The sequence below is a fragment of the Homo sapiens genome, chromosome 17 (assembly GCF_000001405.40).
Source record: "Homo sapiens chromosome 17, GRCh38.p14 Primary Assembly".
In the NCBI taxonomy this organism is placed as follows: domain Eukaryota; kingdom Metazoa; phylum Chordata; class Mammalia; order Primates; family Hominidae; genus Homo; species Homo sapiens.
This window is the reverse complement of record NC_000017.11, coordinates 6776156-6794031: the sequence shown is the minus strand read 5'-3', so window position 1 is coordinate 6794031 and position 17876 is coordinate 6776156. Positions and strand designations below refer to the sequence as shown.

At 42.7% G+C, this 17876-nt stretch overlaps 1 protein-coding gene across 1 annotated transcript; it reads right to left on the bottom strand.

Moving 5' to 3' along the window:
- Window positions 1-6385: 6385 nt before the first annotated feature.
- FBXO39 (F-box protein 39) lies at window positions 6386-17817 on the bottom strand. Its single transcript, NM_153230.3, has 4 exons — window positions 17760-17817; window positions 13141-14243; window positions 7076-7252; window positions 6386-6732 (listed from the first exon to the last, which is right to left on the bottom strand). Exons 2-4 carry the CDS (start codon window positions 14161-14163, stop codon window positions 6604-6606), a joined length of 1329 nt encoding a protein of 442 aa, NP_694962.1. The 5' UTR covers window positions 14164-14243; window positions 17760-17817; the 3' UTR covers window positions 6386-6603.
- Between the last annotated feature and the right edge of the window lie 59 nt (window positions 17818-17876).

Genomic DNA, 17876 nt, shown 5'->3' with positions numbered 1-17876 from the left:
TAATTTAAGACTGAAGTTTTTGAAAGATCATTGTCAAGTTCCAAATCACCATTTCCTAGAAAGGCTGAGTCAGCGTCTTGCCAGGATACCACCTCTGCAACAGCAGAGAGTGTGGGGCAGTGAAAGGAGAGGGTGAGATTCAAATTCCTGCTCTGCACAAAGTGGCTGTGAGGCTTCAGGGAAGTTATTTATCTGATCTTCCTTTTCTTGGTCTGTAAATCAGATGAAGAACATTCTTCTTGCCAGGATGTTGTGAAGATAAAATGAGTTATGGTATGTACAGTGCCTGATGTAGTGGGTTCCCATTAAATGGTACCCAGTTTCTTCTTAAATGAGTTAGTTTCCAATATTTTGAGAACTAACTCTTTGAACTAAGAGTAAATATTGAAAAGTAGTACCAGGGCTTTAAAAAGTCCAAATTTGTCCAGGCACGGTGGCTCATGCCTGCAATCTCAGCACTTTGGGAGGCTGAGGTGGGTGGACCACCTGATGTCAGGAGTTTGAGACCAGCCTGGACAACATGGTGAAACCCCGTTTCTGCTAAAATTACAAAAATTAGCCAGGCGTGGTGGTGGCTCCTGTAATCCCAGCTACTCGCTAGGCTGAAGCAAGAGAATCACTTGAACCCAGGAGGCAGAGGTTGCAGTGAGCTGAGATCACGCCACTGCGTTCTAGCAGAGTGAAACTGTCTCAAAAAAAGAAAAAAATAAAAATAAAAAGTACAAATTACCTTTCTCCCTCTTTCTTTCTTTTTCTTTCTCTTTCTTTCCTTTCTTTCTTTCTTTCTTTTTCTTTCCTTCCTTTCTTCTTTCTTTCTTTCTTTCTCTCTCTCTTTCTTTCTTTTTCTTCTTTCTTTCCCTCCCTCCCTTCCTTCCTTCTTCTTTTTCTTTCTTTCTTTCTTTCTTTCTTTCTTTCTTTCTTTCTTTCTCTCTCTCTCTCTCTCTCTTTCTTTCTTTCTTTCTTTCTTTCTCTTTCCTTTCTTTCTTTCTTTTTCTTTCTCTTTTGACAGAATCTTGCTCTGTCACCCAATCTGGAGTTCAGAAGCATGATCAGGACTCACTGCAGGCTCGACCTCCCCAGGCTCAGGTGATCCTCCTTCCTCAGCCTCCTGAGTAGCTGGGACCACAGAAAAGTACAAATTTCAAAATAATATATCCCACATTTATTGAGCACCTATCATGTAGCAGGTGTAGTGGGGAGGGAGGTGAAGCGACAATAACCATGATAGCTGTGAGAACAGCCTTGGGGATCAGGAACAACTTCCTGGAAGAGGAGCCGCCTAAACTGAGACAGGAAGGATGACAATGAGCCTGTCTGAAACAGCCATTACCAATTGGTGAGCACCTGCTATGGAACATGAGCAGAAATTCAGTAGCTGAGGAAAAAGGTAGGAAGGACATTCCAGGAAGATGGGAAGGAAGAAACCGATGCTTGAAAGAGCAGGGTGCTTTTAGGCAAGTGTAGATGGGGCTGAGGGCTGGAGGCTGGGCAGAGATTGGACCTGGAGGCCTGAAGGCAATGTAGGAGGCCCAGCAATCCAGGTAGACATAAGAGAGACTGAGTTAAGACATGAATATAGAAATAGTGAAGAAGGGACAGAGTCCAGAAACGTCTAGGGGCTAAGTGGCTTGGAGACTGATTTGTTATACAGGGTGAGGGACAGGGAGGGATCTAGGGTGGCTCCCAGGTTTCTGCCTTGAGTAGCAGGGTGAGTGGAATGCTGAGAGGGAATGTAGGAGAAGGAGGGCTTCTAAAATGAGGGTGAAGGCCGGGCATGGTGGCTCACACCTGTAATCCTAGCACTTTGGGAGGCTGAAGTGGATGGATCACTTGAGATCAGTTCGAGACCAGCCTGGCTAACATGGTGAAACCCCATCTCTACTAAAAATACAAAAATTAGCCGGACATGGTGGCGGGTGCCTTGATCTCAGCTACTCAGGAGGCTGAGGCAAGAGAATCGCTTGAAGCTGGGAGGTAGAGGTTGCAGTGAGCTGAGATAGTGCCACTGCACTCCAGCCTGGGCAATAGAGCAAGACTCTTGTCTTAAAAAATAATAATAAAATAAAATAAGGGTGAGGGTGGGAGAGCTAAGGAGGCAAGCTCTCTCGCTAATTATGAGGAGCCCGTGGGTGGAGAGAGGTCTGGCTATAGCAAGAGGGCTGGGAGACATCTGCAGACAGGTGGTGGTAGAAGCCATGGAGGGGCTGAGCCCTGAGAAGCACCAACACTCTCAGGTTGAGCGAGACATCCCAGGGGCTGGAGGAAGCCAGGACAGCATGGCTGTCACGGGTGCCACTTTTTAAGGCACTGGGTCAGCAGGTCGAAGGCTCCAGAAAGTCAGCTAAGAAAGGAAAAGCATCCTGTAGATTTGGCAATTAGGCAGCCCCCAATGACACTTTGCCAAAAGCAATTCCAAAAGAGTATTGGAGGAAGAAGTCAAGAAGTGTAGAGGCTTATTTTTGTTTTACCTATTGTTTATTTGTAGTAGAGATGGGGTCTCGCTCTGTTGCTCAGGCTGGAGTGCAGTGGTGTGACAGAGGCTTAAAGATGCTAATCTTTTCATATCCTTCACCCACTTTTTGGTGGGGTTGTTTGTTTTTTTCTTGTAAATTTGTTTGAGTTCTTTGTAGATTCTGGATATTAGTCCTTTGTCAGATGAGTAGATTGCAAAAATTTTCTCCCGTTCTGTAGGTTGCCTATTCACTCTGATGGTAGTTTCTTTTGCTGTGCAGAAGCTCTTTAGTTTAATTAGATCCCATTTGTCAATTTTGGCTTTTGTTGCCATTGCTTTTGGTGTTTTAGACATGAAGTCCTTGCCCATGCCTATGTCCTGAATGGTATTGCCTAGGTTTTCTTCTAGGGTTTTTATGGTTTTAGGTCTAACATTTAAGTCTTTAATCCATCCTAAATGATGAGTTAATGGGTGCAGCACACCAACATGGCACATGTATACATATGTAACAAACCTGCACATTGTGCACATGTACCCTAGAACTTAAAGTATAATAAAAAAAATGACCAGATGATTGATGCAGAAAAAAAAAGATGCTTATCTTTGGCTGGACTTTGAAAAGAAATTGACTAACCTCTGCTGTCTTCTGGTACATACATTGCCTCAAGGGCTGAGAAAAGCTGATAGGACAGAGAAGAAATAGTGAAACATCTCCCTGTTTACTACATGCAAACCTACAGTCACCATTATAAGATGCCAGGTTGGCTTCTTTCAATTTGGCCTACAGCCCTAAAAAATAAGTGTGTCTTGAAGACACAAACCTTAAAGCTGTGAATGGAGACTTTGAAAAGTATCTAGTTGAGCCCAGAAATGGAAGTAGCAGAATGCTATTGACCTAGTTGTACCCCAAACACTGAAGTCTCATTAATACCTAAAAAGCCTGAGCCAGCTTTTTCTTTCTGTGTTTACCTTCATACCAATTACATAATAAAGTCATTATGGAGCACAGCGTAGCTTGGTTTGAGGCTTGTGTGAGCTGTGGCTGTCAGCCCCGGCATATATTCCTTAAAATCCTTAAAGAAGACAAGTGATTTATAAAATACTTCCCATTGCCTGCCATATATCATAAATGGCATTTAAAAGGACAATTTCAGTTAGGTTCACAAACTCTTTATTGGAGGGAGTTAGCATTTCTCAAATTTGTTGGGATGGTTACAATTAAGGAAAGGATAGCTTTCTGTTGCCATGGAGATTAATGTGTCAGTAACAAGCCATACTGACGGGTGCCTGTTGCTCAAGCTGGCACAGACCCTTGTTCCCTCATCATCTCTGGATACCATGGGAAATCTTCAGTATTTTGGAGTCCTTGAGGTCTGTTTGTGAATAAATGCTACCTGTGAGTGCCATGTGGTGGATGGTGAGTCTATAACAGCTGCAAATCCTTTGTCTGACAATGTCACCAACACTTCTCACTTCTGAAAACCTCAGCTAAGCAAAAATATGGGCACAGCACACAAGAGGCAAGACAAACAAAATCTGAAATGTCACTTGTTAAAAGTGTTCTGAGATTTTGTTAATTTATATCTATTGAAAAACAGAACTCTATGCCACTGCATGCACAAAACCCCCAAAGGACCAGAAGTAATACAATGTCTATGGCATGGGCTCAGGAATTTATTATTATCATCGATCCTCTCTTCCAACCATGCTCTTCACTTAATAGAATTACGGTACAACAGACCCCAAATCCTCTTGCTGTGGGGATAATACGTAGGAATTAAGAGCAGAGCTCTGGAATTAGATTGGGTTTGACACTCACTTCCAGAACTTCCTAAATGTGTGACCAGGGCAGGTTAGACTTGCCAATCCTTCAGGATCCCTGTAAAAGAGGGATAATAGTAGTCTCTGCTTTCTAGAGCTGTGTGAGGATTAAATGAAACTAGGTGAATTTATGTCTAGCATGTAAACACTCAACCAGTGATCACTTTAATAACTGTCGAGACAAGCTGGGTGGAGGAAGGGAGAGGGAATGGGTTCTTCTCATTTTGTTGTTTGGGAGGAAGAAAGAGTCTTGGGTTCTAAATCTGGAGACTTTGGTATTAGTTCTGCCACAAACTGGCTGTATGACTCGGGGTAAGTTAACTTCCTTAGAGCCTGTTCCTTCATATATCAAACAAGATAAAAGCCAACACGGGCCAGGTGTGTGTGTTGCAATGCATGTAATTAATTTTTTCTTCGTTTACACACAGAGAAGCTGAAACTCAAGGAGGTTAAATTCTTGCCCCAAGGCACAAGACAAGTTCATGGCAGGCCAGTACTCATCCAGACACCTGGCTCCAAAAGCCAGGTTTGGGGCCATCAAACTTGGCCATTCACATCTATGTTCAACATCACAGACCCGGTCTCAGCATATTTGTGGAAAAATAAAGGAGACACAGGAAAAACGGAGGAAGGAGATTCGAGTCCACGATGCCATTAAGTCAGGGGCTGAGTTCCTTCTGTGGGAGGGAGTTCCAGCTCTGAGCAGACTCCTCCTAAAAGTGGGGCTTTTCCTGCTTCACCCAAGGGCAGGCTGGAGATTTCTATGCATCTGAGATTGGGCCCAGACAATGACAATGTCAATGTCAGCAGACTCCCCAATGAAGGTCAGTGGATACAAAGGATTTCTAAACTGATAATGTCGGTCAGTAGAAAATGTGATTCTATTTGCTTAATGGTTACACACACCCTTTCAGGTGCACAGGTTAGCAAGAGTCAGGGTCCTCTAGTAAGAGTCTATTCTGGGGCTGGGTGCGGTGGCTCACGCCTGTAATCCCAGCACTTTGAGAGGCTAAGGCAGGTGGATCATTTGAGGCCAGGAGGTGGAGACCAGCCTGGCCAACGTGGTGAAACCTTATCTCCACAAAAAATACGAAAATTATCTGGGCATGGTGGTGCATGCCTGTAATCCCAGCTACTTGGAGGCTGAGGCAGGAGAATTGCTTGAACCTGAGAGGCAGAAGTTGCAGTGAGCCGAGATTGCACCACTGCACTCTAGCCTGGGCAACAGAATGAGACTCTGTCTGAGGACTAAGCTCTGATTTTTTTTTTTTTTAAATCTTGCCCAAATTCCTATCTAAGGGGTCTGAGGAATCATGCCCTACAAGCCATAAATTCTAATTAGATGGGTTTTAGTTAACCCTGTATATAGTGACTTTCCAATCTGACTCTGGCATAACAAGGAAGAAAATCAAAATGTTTTATCCCAAAATATATTTTCTTGCCATACTTTGAAATTGCCCTGCAAAGTCTCTTGTGGGAAAAATCCATATTCTGTAGAGAATCTCCTCTCCCCTTTGTTTTCCTTCCTTCCTTTCTGGTTCCAGGAGATAATCAACTAAGAGCCAGGGACCGTTCTAATTCCAATAAGAAACATTTTACAACCTGCTCTCTCTGAAGTCTGCTATCTGAGAGCTTCCTTTGCGCAGTAAAACTTGGTCTCCACAATCCTTTATCTCATCCCAAACATTTCTTTTCTGTTGATCCCAGGTCTTCAGATAAACTCAACCAATTGTCAACCAGAAAATGTTTAAATTTACCTATACCCTGGAAGCCCCTGCTTTGTTGCCCCGCCTTTCTGAATCAAACCAATATATTTCTTAAATCTATTTGATTGATGTCTCTTGCCTCCTAAAATATATAAAAGCAAGCTGTACCCCAATCACCTTGGGCACATGTTCTCAGGACCTCCTGAGGGCTGTATCACAGGCCATGGTCACTCATATTTGGCTCAGAATAAATCTCTAAAAATATTTTACAGAGTTTGACTCTTTTCGTCAACACATCTCAAAAAAAAAAAAAGGAAGCTACTCTGAGTGGCTTTGGGTTTTTAGCTCTGTGGACGAGTGAGGGTGTCAAAAAGCAAAACTGACAAAAAGAGAAATGACACCGGGATAGTTGGTAAACATAGCGCTTTAAAGCCACCTGGAGCCTTCAGGTCATGGGCAGTCTCAGCCTTTGCTGAGCTGGTCATGTTGTCATGGAGCTGACAAAAAAAAAAAGTGGAGGGGAGAGAGAGGAGCAAAAGGGCCGGCAGTGCCCAAGTGTAGTTCTAAGAGAAATGATTTTCAAGTTCAAAGTGCTCCCAGCTTTCTTCATCTGTAGAGTGCTCATTACATCACAGAGTAAACGATGACAAAATAGCTAAGCTCTGATTCGATCAGCTTTCTGTACTTCCTGTAAATTTCCTGCAGGGTCTTGTCCTCTTCATTCGTCTCATATCTGTTTGTATAAATTCTCGCCTGTGCCAACAGAGAAATACATCCACATATGAGCACGCACACACGCACACACACACACACATACACACACACACACGGTGACTACACTTTTCAGGGCTTGACAGCAACTTAAATGATCTACACATACAGTTGTTGAATCAGGAAAATATGTTGGCAGAATCAGAAAAAGACCAAACCCAACTACTAGAAAAGAGAGCTCCAGATTCCCTTCTTTGAAACTGCTGATTTTCAATGAACAGATGATTGTCCCCCACTGCCTTATTCAGCCCTTCGTTCCAGAGCAGAAGCACCATTCCTGGATGCCCCCACTCTACGCCGTGGAACCAGCCTGGGGACCTCTTACCTTGAATACACGCAGGGCACACTGCCGTTCTTTCTGACTCTTCAGGATCCGCTCCACAAAACTAACATCAAGGAAAGCCCAGATTTTGAAGTAAAACAACTTCCTGCAGGATATGATGAGGAGGTGCAGCTCCTCGTCGAGTGACTCATGGTTGTTGTTGAATTCACAAGTTAATTTCTGGAAGAGCACCAAAAGGGAAGATGTGTGTGGGCAGAGATGCTGAGCCTGGCTGAGTTGTTCTGTAACATTTCCACGACCTGGCTCTGGGCCTGATAGCCATGATGATTTGGGGGTTTTTAACTTTAATTTTTAATTTTTGTGGTACATAGGTACATATATTTATGGGGTATATGGGATATTTTGATGTAGGCATACAATGTGTAATAATCACAATGGGGTAAATAGAGTATCCATGACTTCAAGCATTTATCCTTTGTGTTACAAACAATCCAATTATACTCTTTTAGTTTTTAAAAAATGTACAATTAAATGATGATTGACTATAGACACCCTGTCGTGCTATCAAATACTAGATCTTGTTCATTCTTTCTAACTTTTTTTGTACCCATTAGCCATCCCCACTTCCCTCTGCACCCCCTACTACCCTTCCCAGCCTCTGGTAAGCGTCCTTCTACTCTCTATCTCCATGAGTTGAATTGTTTTAATTTTTAGCTCCCACAAATAAGTGAGAACATGCAAAGTTTGTCCTTCGGTGCCTAGCATATTTCACTTAACATAACAACCTCAGTTGCATCTATGTTATTGCAAACAACAGAATCTCATTCTTTTTTGTGACTGAATAGTACTCCATTGTGTACATGTACCACATTTTCTTTATCCATTGATGGACACTTAGGTTGCTTCCAAATATTGGCTATTGTGAACAGTGCTGCAATAAACATGAGAGTGCAGACATCTCTTTGATATATTGACTTTCTTTCTTTGGGGTATACACCTAGCAGTGGGATTGCTGGATCATATGTAAGCTCTATTTTTAGTTTTTTGAGGAACCTCCAAACTGTTCTCTACAGTGGCTGTACTACTTTAAATTCCCACCAACTGTGTATGAGAATTTCCTTTTCTCTACATCCTTTCCAGCATTTGCTATTGCCTGTCTTTTGAATAAAAATCGTTTTAACTGGGGTGAGATAATATCTCATTGTGGTTTTGATTTGCATTTCTCTGATGATCAGTGATGTTGAGCACCTTTTAATATACTTATTTTGCCATTTATATGTCTTCTTTTGAGAAATATCTGTTCAAGTCTTTTGCCTATTTTTTAATTGGATTACTATTTTTTTTTCCTATAGAGTTGTTTGAGCTCTGTATATTCTGTTTATTTATTAATCCCTTGTGATATGGGTAGCTTACAGATATTTTCTCCCATTCTTCCTGTGGGTTGTCTCTTCACTTTGTTGATTGTTTCCTTCATTGTACAGAAACTTTTTAACTTGATGTGATCCCATTTGTCTATGTTTGCTTAGATTGCCTGTGCTTGTGGGTATTGCTCAAGAAGTCTTTGCCCAGTTCAATGCCCTGGAGAGTTTCCCCAATGTTTTCTTGTAGCAGTTTCATAGTTTGAGGTCTTAGATTGAAGTCTTTAGTCCATTTTGATTTGATTTTCATATATGGCAAGAGATAGTGGTCTAGTTTCATTCTTCTGCATATGGCTATCCAGTTTTCCTAGCACCATTTACTGAAGAGGAGATCGTCCTTTTCCCAATGTATGGTTTTGGCATCTTTGTCAAACATGAGTTCACTACAGATGAATGAATTTGTTTCTGGGTTCTCTATTCTGTTCCATTGGTCTTTATGGGATTAATAAATAACCAGAATATATAAGGGGCTTAAAATCTGTTTTTATGTCAGTCTCATGCTGTTTTAGTGACTATAGCTCTGTAATATAATTTGAAGTCAGGTAATGTGGTTTCTACAGTTTTGTTCTTTTTGGTCAGGACAGCTTTAGCTATTCTGCATCTTTTGTGGTTCCATATATATATATACACACACACACACACACACACACATATATATATATAAATTTAAGATTCTTTGTTCTATTTCTGTGAAGAATGTCATTGGTATTTGGATAGGATTGCACTGAATCTGTAGATGGCTTTCGATAGTATAAACATTTTGACAACATTGATTCTTCCAACTCATGAACATAGAATATCTTTCCATTTTTTTGTGTCCTTTTCAATTTCTTGCATCAATATTTTATAATTTTCATTGTAGAGATCTTTCATTCCTTCGGTTAATTCCTAGGTATTTAATTTTATTTGTAGCTATTATAAACAGGATTACTTTCTTGATTTCTTTTTCAGATTGTTCACTGTTGGCATATAGAAATGCTACTGATTTTTATATGTTGATTTTGTATCCTGCAACTTTACTGAATTTGTTTAGCTGATAGTTTTTTTTGTTTTTGTTTTTGGTGGAGTCTTTAGGTTTTTCCAAATATAAGATCATATCATCTTCAAACAAGAATTATTTGACTTCATTTTCTATTTGGGTGCCCTTTATTTCTCTCATCTGATTGCTCTAGCTAGGACTTCCAGTACTATGTTGAATGGCAGTGGTAACAGTGGCATCCTTGCTCTGTTCTGGATCTTAAAGAAAAGGCTTTCAGTTTTTCTCCATTCAATATGATACTAGTTGTGGGTCTGTCATATATGGCTTTTATTGTATTGAGGTATGCTCCTTCTATACCCAGTTTTTTGAGAGTTTTAATCATGAAGGAATGTTGAATTTTATCAAATGCTTTTACAGCATTAATTAAAATAATCATATGCTTTTTGTTCTTCATTCTGTTGTTATGAGGTGTCACACTGATTTATTTGCATATTTTGAACCATTCTTGCATCCCTGGGATAAATCCCACTTGGTCAGGATGAATGATCTTTGTAATGTGTTGTCGAATTTGGTTTGCCAATAATTTGTTGAGGAATTTTCCATCAATGTTTATTAGGAATATTCACCTATAGTTTTCTTGTTTTTGATGTGTCTTTATCTGGCTTTGGTATCAGGGTAATATCAGCCTTGTAGAATGAGTTTAGAATTATTCCCTCTGCTTCTATTTTTCTGGAATGGTTTGAGTAGGATTGGTATTAGTTCTTCTGTAAATGTTTGATAAAATTGATAAAATTCAGCAGTACAGCCATCAGGTCAAGGGCTTTTCTTTGCTTGGGGACTTTTTATTACAGCTTCTATCTTGTTACTTGTCAATGGTCTGTTCAGGTTCTGGATTTCTTCATGGTTCAATCTTGGTAGTTTGTACGTGTGTAGGAATTTATCCATGTCTTCTGGGTTTTCCAATTTATTGGCATATAGTTGCTCGTTATAGGCTCTAATTATCCTTTGTATTTCTCTGGTATTGGTTGTAATGTCTCCTTTTTCATCTCTTGATTTTATTTATTTGGGTCTTCTCTCATTTTTTCTTATTTTTGCTAATGGTTTGTTAATTTTGTTTATTTTTCAAAAAGCTTTTATTTCACTGATCTTTTGCATTATTTGTTTCACTTTCACTCATTTCTGCTCCAATCTTTATTATTTCTTCTCTTCTACCAATTATGGGATTGGTTTGCTCTTGGTTTTTTCAGTCCTTTAAAGTGTGTCATTAGAATGTTTATTTGAAGTTTTTCTTCTTTTTTGATGTAGGCGCTTATAGCTATAAACTTCCCTCTTAGTATTGCTCACTGTATCCCACAGGTTTTGGTAGCTGTGTCTGCATATTGTTTGTTTCAAAAATATTTCAATTTCCTTCTTAATCTCTTCATGACCAACTGGTCATTCAGGAGCATATTGTTTAATTTCCATGTCTTCATATAATTTCCAAAGTTTCTCGTTATTAATTTCTAGTTTTATTCTGTTGTGGTCAGAGAAGATGCTTGCTATAATTTCAATTTTTTGACTGTTTTAAGACTTTTTTGTGACCTAACATATGGCCTATTCTTGTGAATGATCCATGTGCTAAAGAGAAGAGTGTGTGTTCTTCAGCCATTGGATGAAATTTTCTGTAAATATCCTTTAGGCCCTTTTGGTCTATAATGCAAATTAAGTCTGCTGTTTCTTTGTTGATTTTGTGTCTTGAAGATCTACCCAATACAGAAAGGAGGGTGTTGAAGTCTCTAGCTGTTATTATATAGGGGTCTATCTCTCTCTTTAGCTCTAATAATATTTGCTTTATATGTCTGGGTGCTCTGGTGTTGACTGCATATATACTTACAATTGTTATATCCTCTTGCTGAATTGACTCTTTTATTATTATATAATGACTCTGTCTCTTTTTATAGATTTTGTCTTGAAATCTATTTTGTCTGATATAAGTATAGCTACTCCTCCTCTTTTTTGGTTTCCATCGGCATTAAATATCATTTCCCATCTCTTTATTTTCAGTCTATGTGTGTCTTTATAGGTGAAATGTGTTACTTGTAGGCAGCAGATAATTGAGTCTTTCTTTTTAATCTGTTCAGCCACCTATGTCTTTTGATTGGAGGGTTTAGTCCATTTGTATTCAATGTTATTACTAAGTAGGGACTTACTCGGGACATTTCGTTATTTGTTTTCTGGTTTTTTGCGGTCTTCTCTTCCTTCTTTTCTTCCTTCCTGTGTTCCTTTTAGGGAAGGTGATTTTCTCTGGAGGTATGTTTCATGTCTTGCTTTTTATTTTATCTGTTGTATGTTTTTAGATTTGAGGTTATCATGAAGCTTGCAAACAATATCTTGTAACTCATTATTTTAAATTGATGACAACTTAACACTATTGCATAAACAAACTAATAAACAGCAAAACTAAAACTAATAAAAACTTTTTACCTTAACTTTGTCTCCCTACTGTTTAACTTTTTGTTATTTCTGTTTGTATCTTACTGTACTGTCTATGTCTTGAAAAGTTGTTGTTGTTATTATTTTCGATCAGCTTATATGTTTGTCTTTCTACGTAAGATATGAGTAGTTTACTCACACAATTCCAGTGTTACAATATTCTGTGTTTTTCTATGTACTTACTATTACCAGTAAGTAATAGTAAGTATACGTCTTGTACCTTCAGATGATTTCTTATTGCTCATTAATGCCTTTTTCTTTCAGATTGAAGAACTCCCTTTAGCATTTCTTGTAGGACAGGTCTGGTGTTAATGGAATTTGGGGGCTTTTTAGATAAGGGACATTGGACATGTAGTTCTTAGAGGAAGAGATTTGAGAATGATGGTGATCTCATCCAAGGTTGCAAAACTTGGAATTTGGAGGCAGTGTACTTGGAGTATACAAGGTGCTCGTCCCAGCCCTGCAGTGGACTGGCTGGGTGACTGTGGGCTGGTCATTGAACCTCAAGTTCTTCTGCAGCACACAAGGGTCATGATGATGTCTGCCGTACCCCACCTTTGGTTTATGTGGGTACCTAATGAGGTATTAGCACCTTGGAGTCCATCCATGTTTGTAGAGATACATAAACCTGTTAATATCAGTTGTCACAACCACTGTGAGGTCCTTGGAAAGACAAAATGATCCTGATCTTACAGGTGAGAAAGCTACTAGATTAGGGAACAACCCAGAAACTCTGAGCTCTTCGGTTGTGTAAATCAAATTTGACTTTTTGTCTGGCCTGGTCCTCCCCATTCTATCTCCCCAATTACCAGGCACTGGCACTGCTATAACCAGACAGATCCCCCACTGAGATCTGACCATAGGAGCCACAGGGTCTCCTGCATGCTGCTGTGACCTCGTGGAAAAGTAGGAAGAGGCAGCCCAGCCGCTATTCGCCTGCAAGGCACCTCCTGGCTCAGGCTTCATAGCTCTGAGTGGGGACTTAGGGGTTTTCCCTAGCTGACAGCTAACCAGATAATTCCTTGTGTCTGTACCACATGTAGGAAGTGAGTAGCAGCTTCTGTTGCCTACTGTGGTCTTGGGAGGAGGGCAGGAGGCTTAGTTGGTGGTATTTCCTAGAACTTCAATTTGAGATTGAGTGAACATTTGGGAGCCTAGCCAAGAGCAGGCAGCAGTGGGCTTTCTTCTGGGGAAGCCAGTCACCTGAACAGCAGTCACTCCTCACAAGTCCTACCTACCTGCAGAGTGTGCCGGAAGGTGGGCAGGAGATCTATCAGAGTGGGTCTCATTGAACAGTCTGGGTCACTGAAATAGCAGCTTCTCAGACTGATGCTCCTGATCGGGATCTCCTGCAAGAGGATTCGGGCCAAGCGTTCGTACTTCATGATCCGTTCAAAGAAGAAGTTCACCTTCAGATTGGTGGCCTGCCTGGCCAGCTTGGCCCAGGACATACCCCAGATGACCTGTCCGTGGGGGTCATGAACGTGGCATTTGATGTTGATGGTCCGGAGGGTGCTGGCATTCTCACACAAGTTCTCAAGCAGCTCGTCGGAGATACAGTTGTAGTTGAGGTTCAGGGACACAAGATTGTGGAATGTGGACATGGTCTTTTTGAACTGGGGGCTGTTGTAGACAGCAAGGTGATGGCTGAAATAGTCCTCGATGTTGAGCTCTGAGATCACATTCTCATTCCTCATGTAGCTGAGGGAGTCGAGAATTTGGCAGCCTTGCTCCACGGTCAGCCTGGCCCCTTTTAGGTTGAGATAATCCAGGCGTTTGCCCATCTTCTTTAAGAAGAAGCTCAAGCTGCTGATGAATGAGCTCCTGATGCTGTTCCTCCATACCAGGCGGTCCAGCTCCAGGTATTGGATGGAAAGAGATTTCAGACGGTTGTTGCTCTTACTCAGACAAGACAGGAGGCCCCGCATGGTGACCTGGAACTTCTTGGTCAAGACAGCATTGTAAGGATTCATGAATTTGACCTCCAGGTGCTCCAGATAACGACCAAACTTCTTAACATACCAAACAGCTGACTCAACTTCAGATGCATGTACCCTGGAAGGTCTCCCGCTGAAGGTGATGGTTCTGTACCGCCAGAGCTCAGCAGAATACATCATCTGGTTCCACTTTCTGCAGACAAGAGCAGCCCTGGACCTGTCCCTGTCTCCTAGCCACCAGAAAACACGGCACAGACACAAATCGGGCAGAAAGGCCCAGCAGCTCTGGTCTTGGGGCTGGATCAGTTCACTTTCTTCGTCCATCCAGGAACTGGGATGTACAGTGCAGCTGTGTGTTAGGCAGGGCTTCCAAAAATGAGGAAAGGAAAGCAATCACTTGCTTTCTGTGGGGAATAAAAAGGAAGAGCCATTACCTGTCAAACAGAGATTAAACTCAAATGAACCAGCTTTCCCTGTGGTCCCAAGTGCATTAGGCACTGTGCCAGGTGTGGGTGGTTCAATGATACATTCATGACACAGTCCACACCTGCAAGGATTTCACAGTCTATCCAGGGATACAGACCAGTACTCAATTATAACCCTGTGAGAGAGCAGGAAGGTTCAGGCAGACTCATAGTGTGGGGTAGCACACATGCAGGGTGACTTACTCTGTTTGACTAAATATAGTGTTTGGAAGTAGAGAGGGCTGCTCAGAGGAAGCGACGTCTGAGTTGGGTTTTGAAGGGTGAGTAGGATTTGCAAGGCAGATCAGGTGGGCCTAGTGGTAGTGGATGAGGAGCTGATGCATTCTGGGCAGAGGGAACAATACGTGCAAAGCCACAGAACTGTGAATGTATGTGATGTGTTCCCATTCAGGGAGCTAAAAATGGTTTGGTCACCTGGCACTTAACTTGTTAAGTGGGCTGGAAATGGAGGAACTGGATCACGTGGGAGCAGTGGGAAGTGCTGGATCAAGGGGTCCTGCGTGATGTGATAAAGATTATGTCCTAGAGGCCAGAGAGTCCCACTTCCCCTTTCCCCAAGATTCTGGAATTCTGACATGGCCTGTCCCCTTCCTGTATCTAGCTACATTGCTGACAGTTGTGTAAAATTCAAGAGGTGTAACAGCAGAACAGGGTGGAAAACCCCAGCTGAGGTCACAGAGAGCCATGAAGGTTGATTGGTCAAATGTCTGGAAGCCATGTGGTGAGTTTTGAGGTGTGGAAAGGACACTCCTGGGGGACAGAGGAAGGATGGTCAAGAGCAGAGTCCAGGCATTGTGGTGGGAATGGGGATGTGTTTGCAAGTTCTTTAGAAGACACGATTTGGTAACTGTTGAAGGAAGAGGTGGGGAAGGCTGGAAATTTTCTGACCCAACTAGAGAGTCCCGGCAGAGATCTGAGCGAAGGCCTGCTTCATCCATAGATATTTTATAGCCATCTGCTAAACTTTTTACAGTTTTTTGCTTTCAAAGTTTCATTTGCCTAAAAACTCTCCTCATGTTGTTTGCCCCTCCCAAACCCCCATTGTTCAAAGTTCAAGCCCTACCACTCCTTAAAGCTCTCACTGACTACTTTACCAGATAAACCCAAGATTATTGATCATGGCTCATAAAATTGTGGTGCTGGAAAGAGACCTGAGAATTGATTTCTTTTCAGATGAACACTGAAGGCCAGAGAGGTGAAGGGACTCACCTATAGTCTCACAGCAAGTTAGTATCGGGCCCCAGACTGGAACTTGGGCTTTTTGACTCTTTCTTCTGTACTTTTTTTTCCTGTCCCCACCTCTTGGACCACAAGGGTGCAGGGGCAAGTGAATCACATTTCCCAATTCAGGACTGACATTATTCGTCTGTGCAAGACCCCTCTCTAGTTTTATTTATTCATGTGTTCCATTTTAACCCTCTGTCCCATTCCGTTGCCCCCACCATAGGCAACTGTTCAAGTGTGTTTGACGTGTGTCTTTTTGTCTGTATGTGTGCTTGCCAAATGTGTACTTACTGTTTGTCGGACTTATTCCTGTGGCTCTGTGTACATTTCACCCATTGCGTCTAGCAGCTGAATAGAACCCATGGCAGGTATCCTGCCTGTCTCCCATCCTCTTTCCTTTGATGGACCCCAAGTCTCCTCCAGCTCCCACCAACACCACAGTGGCAGTGAGCATCCTCAAGTAAGCACAGTTGTGGGCCTCCCTAGGGACCTTCTCCAGGCTTTGTCCTCACTACGCCATCACTTTCTCTCACCACCCACTCACTGATTTGGCCCCTGTCTCCAGCTGGCCTTCCCACCGCCACATCCGAACAGACTTCCGTAAAGGACTGAACAGCAGCCCGTCCCGCCCATGACGTGGCGCCCTAGTGGTTCCCAGCATGGCTGTGTCCGTATTTAGCTTGCCTCCTTCTGCTACCTCTTGCCAGTGCCCCTCTTTGTATAATCTGTGTCCTTGCCTTTCTCTCCCAAGGGACCCACACACCCCTTGACAACCTCCTTCTGCTTTTGAGAAGGTACTTAAACATTTAACAAATGAAGAAATAGGTCTCTTCAATCACTTGCAAACTGCCCAAGGCTAGGGATCTCCACAGCACTCACCACCAAGCAAAGCTCCTAAAAGGTGCTGCAGAAGAGATAAACCAGTTTAAAAGCTCCACGAAGCAAAGACTTGGAATCAACCCAAATGCCCATCAATGATCGACAGGATTAAGAAAATGTGGCACATATACACCATGAAATACTATGCAGCCATAAAAAAGAATGAGTTCATGTCCTTTGCAGGGACATGGATGAAGCTGGAAACCATCATTCTCAGCAAACTAACGCAGGAACAGGAAATCAAACACTGCATGTTCTCACTCATAAGTGGGAGTTGAACAATGAGAACACATGGACACAGGGAGAGGAACATCACACAATGGGGCCTGTCGGGGGGTGGCGGGCAAGGGGAGGGAGAGCATTAGGACAAATACCTAATGCATGCGGGGCTTAAATTCTAGATGACAGGTTGATGGGTGCAGCAAACCACCATGGCACATGTATACCTATGTAACAAACCTGCATGTTCTGCACATGTATCCCAGAACTTAAAGTATAATAAAATAAATAAGTAAATAAAAGCTCCATGAAACCTTTTGGCCTAGCAAGGTTGTAGGTCAGGAAAAGTCATCAGACACTGGTGCTGTAAGGGTGGGGTTGGAAGAATATGTGTGTCTGGAAGAGTTGCTGTAAGGAGACTCCAAATTCTATTTAATGACTGGGAGCCTCCCCTTACCCCCCGAGACCCCATCAGAGGCAGTGTAGCTTAGTGGGCTGCATCCTAGCTATGCCCATTACAGTCGGATGACCTTAGGCAAGTCAATTTCTTTATGTGTGAATCCTCACATCTGTATATGGGGTAATAATAGTGCCTTTCTCTTAGTGTTGGGAGGATTAAGTGAGCTGATACCTGGAAAGCACCGGGAACAGTGAGTGCCTGCCACGTAGTAAACGCTATACAAGAGCTGGCTGCCATTAATAAGAAAGTTGGTGCCGAGGTACTTCTGCAACGTCCCGCCAAGGAAGATAGGAATACAAACACATCCATTTCACAAATACGGAAACGGAGGTGTTGGAAGGTGAATAAAGTTTCCCAGGGAGAACGTGTAGTAAGTGGGGAGATAGGATTCGAACCCAGGGTTGGTCCACCATATCACACAGCTGCCAACCAGGGAGGGAAATCTAAAGATGTCCTACCCACCGCGGGAGGGGGAGTTGGCCTGGCAACTCCTGCAGCCAAAGATGCTTCCCAGAGGGGGTGATGAGAGCAGCCCGCCTCCCCGCCGCGGGCCTCGGGGCATCCCACCGCCACCCCAGCCTGCTCCGGCCCGCATTCTCCCGTTACCCGTTCGCTGAACCCCGCTCGGGCTGCAGGGACTGGAGCGCGCCTACCTGCTCCGCCCGCGCAGCTGTTGCTCCGACGCCAACTCCATGGGCGCCCCGGGTCTGCGCCTTGCTCTGGCCCAAGCTAAATGCCAAGCTCCGGCCGCCTTTGTGACGCGCTGCCGC

Excerpts from the sequence above, each read along its gene's own strand:
- FBXO39 (NM_153230.3), bottom strand. The coding sequence starts at position 14,163 with ATGGACGAAGAAAGTGAACTGATCCAGCCCCAAGACCAGAGCTGCTGG. Across the intron at positions 7,253-13,140 it reads CCTTCCGGCACACTCTGCAG|AAATTAACTTGTGAATTCAA; the intron begins GTAGGTAGGACT and ends GTGCTCTTCCAG. Across the intron at positions 6,733-7,075 it reads GTGCCCTGCGTGTATTCAAG|GCGAGAATTTATACAAACAG; the intron begins GTAAGAGGTCCC and ends CTGTTGGCACAG.